This window comes from Homo sapiens, chromosome 15, assembly GCF_000001405.40.
Source record: "Homo sapiens chromosome 15, GRCh38.p14 Primary Assembly".
Classification (NCBI taxonomy): Eukaryota; Metazoa; Chordata; class Mammalia; order Primates; family Hominidae; genus Homo; species Homo sapiens.
The window spans coordinates 26,259,374-26,267,649 of NC_000015.10; the positions used below are offsets into that span (position 1 = coordinate 26,259,374).

The 8,276-nt window shown below is 42.1% G+C and overlaps 1 long non-coding RNA gene across 1 annotated transcript, besides 1 other annotated feature; it reads left to right on the top strand.

The window, feature by feature from the left end:
- Positions 995–1,494: an enhancer, noted in NCBI's record as "H3K4me1 hESC enhancer chr15:26505515-26506014 (GRCh37/hg19 assembly coordinates)". NCBI's record gives its function as "activates a minimal SCP1, AML or CMV promoter by ChIP-STARR-seq in primed H9 embryonic stem cells {active_cell/tissue: H9 hESC(primed)}" and the evidence as "EXISTENCE:reporter gene assay evidence [ECO:0000049][PMID:30033119]".
- On the top strand, positions 2,299–6,545 carry LOC124903568 (uncharacterized). Its single transcript, XR_007064787.1, has 2 exons — positions 2,299–2,602; positions 5,391–6,545. It is a non-coding gene; the product is annotated as an uncharacterized LOC124903568 (long non-coding RNA).
- The last annotated feature ends 1,731 nt before the right edge of the window (positions 6,546–8,276 follow it).

Here is an 8,276-nt window from a genome sequence, read left to right on the forward strand (position 1 = left end):
TGTCCTCCCCATCCCCCTTCCCAGTCACAGAAAGACAAATACTGCAGGATCTCACTTATATGTAGAATCTAAAAAAAAAAAAATTCTTAAAGTTGATATCCTAGAAGCAAAGAGTAGAACAATGGTGATCAAATTTCTGATCTATAACCTTGAACACTAGTACCATTCTGTTAAAGTACTTATTTCTAGTTTATCTAGTTTAGATTTTTAATTTGTTTTTGTTTTTGTCTTACTGTCAGTCACTACTTGCCTCACTTTTTACATTGAAATAGCCCCCTTGGGTAGTCATTAACTGCATATTTAGATGTGCCATGTCTGTTGGGTGTGAGCCTGCTGATCTGGTATTTTAAATTCTTAAATTTCATGCCAGACACGACAGACTTGAAGGGAAGCAAGTGATTACCATGGCATTCAAAGATAGAACTCTGAATGCCACCAGCAGAATGTCACCACTTGCAGTCATAGCTGAAAGCAATTGGGTAGAGCACATTTTTCTTCAGGATTTAAGAATGTAAAATATAACTGTATTTTTGATCTTTAAATTAAACCTGATGCATTCCAGGCATTAAAAACAACCACGACAACTCTATTTCTCAACCCCTCTAGAACAGGCTTTCACAAGATGGAACTAAGTCTCGGGTCTGTTGTGTGTTCATCTTGAGACCACCACTCCACTCTTTCCCTCAGGCCCAGTGGCGTGGCTTGAGACTGGATCCACAAAACGGATTAGAGATTGCAAAGTGAGCAGAGTGGTTAGCAGAAGGCAGGTTGTCATCATGGAGCTTCACCAGGACCAAGCTGGGGTCCAGAAACATCCTAGTACTGACTTGGTCATGATAGACAGTGCATCTAGACAAGCTCTGGCTCCCAGCGCCAGGCAGGATCCCAAGTGTTGGGCGAAGTCAATGGGGGGGCCCAGCCCCACTGTGTAGGCACCCAGAGGTGGTATCGCCCATGCAACATCTGGGACCCACTGATACCAAAGCGTTATTGCTACTTATCTTGAATTCAGATTCAATTGGGCATCCCATATTTTATCTGGCAACCCTATGAGAGGGCACTTCCCAGGAGCAGCAGAAGTGAGGTCCAGAAAAGCTGCCTGAGAGCATGCGTTCCACCACGGGCAGCAAGGGCAGTGGCCTCAGAGACCAACTGCTGCAGGAAGGGAAATGGTCCAAAGAGAAGGGGCCTCCTTGGCTGCCAAACGTGGTGGGCACAGAGAGAGCCTCTATTTGTCTTCCCTGAAACACGCAACTTCCCATAAGAAGGCCAGGAGGACCCCCTCCTCCTGAACACCAGAGCTGTCTTCAAGTGCAGTTCTTCTCTGGGGAAGAGCCTTGGGCTCCCCCTGGAGGTCACGAAGCGCAACAGGCCTTGTGTTGGGCAGAGCATCGCTGTCCTTCACCTCCTACGGAGAAAGAGGGGTTTCAGGGAGTAATGACCAGCACCCCCACCCCCGCCCTGCAATGACTGCTAAAGAGGTCTCCAAATAGTCCAAGTGAGAAAACAGCCAGGGTGGGGCAGGGCGAGCATGGGTTGTTTACGGCCGTTTCCACGCTGACTGGTCATCGCTTTGTGGATACTCGTGCTCATGTCCCTGGTTAAATTGTTATATACTACCCCTGGTTATAAAAGCTCGCGCTATAAAAGTGATGGGGACAGGCTGGCAGCGGGGCTGCAGAAAGCTGGAGGACTTTTGCTCCCCAAAAAGCTTGTAGCAGAGCCAGTGCATATACCTGTGAAGACCTTGTTACCGTGCATTGTAATCACTATTGCCATGCTCATGACATTTGTTTACCATGAGGTTCCTGAAGTCAAGAATGCTCCCATCACCTCTAGGGTCTGGTACACAGTAGTTACTTGAAAACAGAATCAGTGAATGATGGAAGGCTGTGTAGTTAGATAATGTCTTGAAAAATGATTAGCTAGTGTATTTTCAATTTACAGTAAAGCAGGTCACCCTGCAGCCTCCCACCCACCATATCAACAGCATTTATCACTTCTAAGAGAGGGCAGATACCACCTATAGAAACAAAAAATCCATTGCTCAATTTTTAGTTTCAATCACCCTTTTCAGAGGCCATAATGGCAAAATCCTGGCCTTCATGTGTCCAGAGCCAAATTTGGAGATCTGAGAAGAGAGCTTTGCTATGACCCATGAGTATAACAGATCCAGGCTATGAGAGGAATGCCGAGCTGGCGGGGACGGTGGTGTGAGATGTCACACGAGGAGGGAGGTGCAGACACAGTGGGCCTGTGCAGAGATGAAAACATCAGTCAGGCTCTGGGGAATCTGAGAACTCTGGGGCTGGTGCTAGCTCCTCTAGGTTCAGCATGACCCACAGCTAAGCAGAGGAGCGGAAGGATGGTTATGGAGAGTGGAAGTCCTAGACAAGAATGAACAGTTTACAGCCACTTGTAGAACTGTCTGTCTCTTTCCAGTATCTGAACTTTGACGATCTCAAAGGGCATCTCTGGGAATTTTTGAGTGTCAGCGTGCCACTCAAAGGGTGGCGGGAGGGGCACCTAGCAGTCAGTGCAGCAAGGCAGACAGGACCCGCATGCCAGCACCCTGCCTGTCTGATGACACTGATTCCGAAAGGTAAGTGCATAATTTCCTGTGGCTGCTGTACACATTATAACCAACTGGATGGCTTCAAACAACACATATTTATTCTCTCACAGTTCAGGAGGTCGTAAGTCCAAAATCAAGGTGGTGTCAGGGTTGGCTCCTTCTGGAGGCTCTGCAGGACAATCAGTTCCATGCCTCTTTGCTGGCATCCGCTGGCTGCTGGCAGTCCTTGGACACCCCTGGCTGTCGACGTGGCATTCTTACCTCTGTCTCTGTTACTGTGTTCACACAGCCTTCTCTGTGTGTCTCTCAAACCTCCGTATCCTTTTACAAAGACACCACAGGATTTAGAATGTACTCTAAATCCAAGATGATTTCATCTTGAGATAAATACATCTTAAATAATTACATCTGCAAGGCTCTATTCCAATAAAGTCACATTTTGAGGTTCTGGGAAAACATGAACTTGCGGGGACACTATTCCATTTACTTCAGTGGGATTAAGGTTCAGCATCAATTGTTGGGAAAAGACAAAGGCTCGATAGTAGGGAAATAGCTAATGTAATAAAATGAAACAGCACATCAAAATAACTCTTACACTGGGCTGGAAATATTCTTGCAATCGTGTTCTATATTGTTTGCTTTCTAGTCATAATTATACTCTGAATTTTAAGTTCATTTATAGGCATTGTATCATTAGTAGTTTTTAGGACTAATGACATTATTGTAGAGAAATAAGAGAAATTGCAAAGATAAAGTGTGTATTTGAATCATGAAAATTCAATACACGTATGGATTGCAATGGGAATTCACCTTCCATTAGTTGTCTATTCTTAAAAGCAGTGGGTGTGGAATAGGTTGAAAGTTGACGTATGTGTATAGGAAAGGAAGTCAGCACAGAAGCCTTCGGGTCAGGGCCTGTGGAGGAATCACCCACAGATTCCCCAAGGGCGTCGTTGATGGGGCCCGAAGTGTTCTCCCTAAGGCTGTCTTCTCTAAGCTGTAATTCAGGGTCCTGCTGCTTGAGGCTGCTGAAGCACTGTCACTTTGGGAGTCCCTCTGCAGACTCCCACAGCAGGATGGAGGGGCAGTGTCTGGTGGGAGGGAGAGGTGGATGGTACCAGCTGGCCCTGACGTCCTCCAGGGCATGGTTTACACTTAGGAGCAGAACCCTTCATACAAGAAGACTTGGGTCAACCTTTTTCTGTCTGTGGTGTGTCTAGAACTCGCTGCCTTATCCTGATGTATTCATCCAATCAGTTTTAAGTTGATGATGGAGATGTTGACCCACAGCTGATATTGATGACTCCTTTCCTCTAGCCCTCGTATATCTGCAGGTCTCTCAGATGAAGACAGATGGAGATCAATGCACAAGTTACAACATTAGAAAGGGGGTGGAGACCTGAAAGGAGGTGGAGGTGCCAAATGAGGGCTTTAGAAAGCTGAATATGCAGAACTTAGTTCTACACAAGTTGAGTTCCAAGTATAAGCTCCAGTGCTTCATAATTCCCCAAGCTTGACATGTAAACAAATAGGAATTATTGATTTTGTCAAAGATAAGCACATCCAATGCTTGGATAAGCACATATATATGTGTGTGTGTATGTGTGTGCATATGTAAAATATAATGAATATATCAATATAGATACATATGTAGGTCATACAGAAATGTATTTTCTAAGAATGATGTATAAAATGGTATCAAAATGGCACTAGGCCTTAAATTAAGGATAGCTTTTGAAATGAATATTTCAATATGACTATTTTTGTTATACATATATATGGCAGCTTTACTCAGAAATTCAAATATGAATAGAATGAATGAAAAATATATTACACGTTTTCTTTAAAATTAAGAGATGACAAAGAAATAAAATAAAATCTATTTCTAGATTTCATCTAGAAATCTTAATGTCCAGCTACCTTATTTTTCAGACAGTGAATCTGAGGTCTAGCAAAAAGTACTTAGAGAATTTGTAAAAAACACTAAGTATTTAGAGAACTTAGTAGCAGCACCTATTCATATTATATACAGTTGATTACTAGAGACAGGTGGACTCCCTTCAGTTCAACCAAGGTTCATTGCTTTTACTCCAACTCAGTCATTTCCCAATGTGGCTCGTAGGAGTCAAACTCAAGCAATGGATTTCATTTAATTTTTGAGTTAACATAAATGTATGAAGAACAATAATTTTTAAATTATCAGGAATGCCTCCAAATTAAGGCTCTATATTTTACTAGAAGAATTAATGAAATGATTACATTAATGAAAGTTAAAAAAATGTTTCTACTTTTGAATAGCCCCTGTTTTTACTGTTGTACAAAGGCTCATTCTCTTGGTTGCAATTGTAATCACCTGGGGAGCTTGACTCCAGGATCCCCCCAACCCCAGACATTCTGCTATAACCGGGGCCTGGAGGTGTGTGCTGGGCACCATTATTATTTGTGAAGAGCCTCAGATAATTCAAAGGAGCAGCTCACATGGAGAACCACTGATCTAGTGATTCTTCTTTTCCTCCTTGATCTTCTGAAGCACAGCAATTAGGTTCAGTACAAAATTAAAAGTTAATACCCCCATTGGGCATTAACTTTTGGGTACCATTACCATTGGGGGTATGAACTATTTATCTTAAAAGACACAATATCAGTGTAGACATTCTGATTATAGACATTTACGTGACCAAAACACACACACAACAACACTAACAAACAATTCCAGGTTCTCACCAGCGTTACCAAGCATGACGAGCCTTTTCTCCGAGACCTGACTCTGTTTTTCACCCCTAAATCAATCTCACTTCTGTATTTTCTACCTCAGGGCACTTTCTCATCTATTTCCTGCTTTGGAAAAGGGCACTCCGGTCATTCCAGTCACCGAAACAAGAGATTTTGGAAATTCATGCCGGGCAGAGTGCTGGGCATGGGGAATTTGGTGGCTGGCAAGACAAGCCGCTTCTGTCCTCAAGGCCTGACTCTGAGGCCAAACCATCACTGAGTCAGGGCCCCCAGAGCCCTGCATGTTGACCACCGTGTGGATGGACACCATGTGGATGGCCTCTTTCAACATCTTCTAACTCAGCTTTCTCCTGCAGCCAGTGAGCTCTCTCCAGAGATAAGTGCAGTCATGCCCTTACCATCTAATACACAGCAGTTTTTCATCACTGACAGAAAATGTACAACCTTAACCCATCATGACTTACAGCCCTCCATGTCTGATCGTAGCCCCAAACACACCATACCTTTCACATCCGCACTGCATCCCTGCATTGTACCACCAGCCAGCCACCTTCCTCCTCCCTTACCCGCTGGGGGATTTGCACAGTCGCTGTAGACCCCAGCCTCTGTGTGACCACTACTTTGAAGACTTCCTCCTTCACCCTCTTAGGAATTTAGCCTTTCTCACCTAATATTTGTCTCCGCTCATTGAACATGAAGTCATGGTTTCTATGCTGGTTGTTATTCTTTCTGTTATTTACAGTGTTTTTTTTGTTGTTGTTGTTTTTTTTTAAGAAAAGAGTGTGTTAGAAATACTTTATACACACCACATAAACTTGAAGTCTCTCTGAAGAAACGTTTATGGTTTAGAAATTTATGATACGAGGTTTAAGATAGTCTATTTCATCTGATGTTTTGCCTTTTTCTCATGTCAAGTGTTACCTCACTGTTATGAATGTTGCCACACTGGCTTTATATAGCCACCATCTATCACTCTTCTGTTTGTTTAGTAAACATCTATCTCCATCTATCTGTTATCTATACTCTATGAATCTATTGCCTATCTGCCAGTCACCTCTCATCTACCTATCCATCTCAATGTTTGTTTTGACTCATTTGAAAATAAGTTGTCAACCTCACAACCACAAGAAAAAGAAATCTTGCTTCCATCTCAATCCCTTTTGTAACCATTGTTATTGATCTCATGTATCTTAGCAATAATTCTTTTTTTGCAATAATAAGCAAATTTGTTTTCTAATTACTTCACTGATTCTTCTCATACCTTCCTCTGTTGTTATTATTATTGCCTGGTTTCCTTTCTTTGCAGTTGACCTTAGGGAAAGAAGATCTCTGCATCCTTGAACATGCTTACAAATCACCTAGGCAATTATAAAATTATAATTATAAAACTAAACAGATCATCATAGATAAAGGAAATATATAGTTCAGAAGAAAATGTAATAAAGAAAAATAAGTACAAATATAATAAAGAAAATTAAATACACAAAGACAATAAATACCCTTTAGTACACAGTTATGAAAATTGACTTGGTAGCAACAGATGGGTGGGTTGAATACTTTTTTACATTACAACAATTTCCATAAAGGTGCAGACCCACAAATAAAGCAATGTTTTGGCCCAAACGAGTTATCGAATTTCTGCTGCATTACTTTTGAATTGTATCTAATCTCTTGCAAAAGTAGAGAAAAAAAAACCTTCAGGCCTAGCGTGGTGGCTCACGCCTGTAATTCCAGCACTTTGGGAGGCCGAGGCAGGTGGATCACTTGAGGTCAGGAGTTCGAGACCAGCCTGGCCAACTTGGTGAAACCCTGTCTCTACTAAAAAATACAAAAATTAGCTGGATGTGGTGGCACATGCCTGTAGTCCCAGCTACTTGGGAGGCTGAGGCAGGAGAATTTCTTGAACATGGGAGGCAGAGGTTGCAGTGAGCCAAGATCATGCCATTGTACTCCAGCCTGGGCGACAGAGTGAGACTCCATCTCAAAAACTAAAATAAAATAACAAAACAAAGCAAAACCCTTCAAGGCTGGAGGTAAATTGAAACAACATTTCTCTGAATGCTGTGATATATTCACTATTACATGTAGAATATGTAATAAAATACTAACCATCATTATAAATATTCAAGGACAAGAGGAGGAATTCCTTCCAAAGGATAAGTAGAAAGTATTGACTATTTCTCCAGAGTGCCTGGAAGGTTTAGGCATTCTTTTAGGTGTTGATTAGAGCAGTAATACATAATTCACTTCAAAAACACTGATCATTCACTGTTGTTACCAAGCAACCCAAGGAAAACAGGAGGTCCTTCAACCAGTGTCCAGGAGTTGCAGACCCAGAAGTAACTAAGTTGGGATACTTGGAGCCCGAATCATCAGATATGGAGTACAATTCTGTTATAAAAGACAATCAGAGAATGAGCCCTAAAAAGTCGGTGTAAAACTTGTGAAAGAGGAGAAAGAGACAGATAGGTAACAGCTTGTTTATGTCTACCTCAACAATTCAGTGTACCCTGGGCCCTGGGGACAAAACCAAACCAACCAAAAACAAATAAGAAAACCTCTGCTTCGAGAAATGCAAATCAAAACCACAATGAGATACCATCTCACACCAGTTAGAATGGCGATCATTAAAAAGTCAGGAAACAACAGGTGCTGGAGAGGATGTGGAGAAATAGGAACACTTTTACACTGTTGTTGGGACTGTAAACTAGTTCAACCATTGTGGAAGACAGTGTGGCGATTCCTCAAGGATCTAGAACTAGAAATACCATTTGACCCAGCCATCCCATTACTGGGTATATACCCAAAGGATTATAAATCATGCTGCTATAAAGACACATGCACACGTATGTTTATTGCAGCACTATTCACAATAGCAAAGACTTGGAACCAACCCAAATGTCCATCAGTGATAGACTGGATTAAGAAAATGTGGCACATATACACCATGGAATACTATGCAGCCATA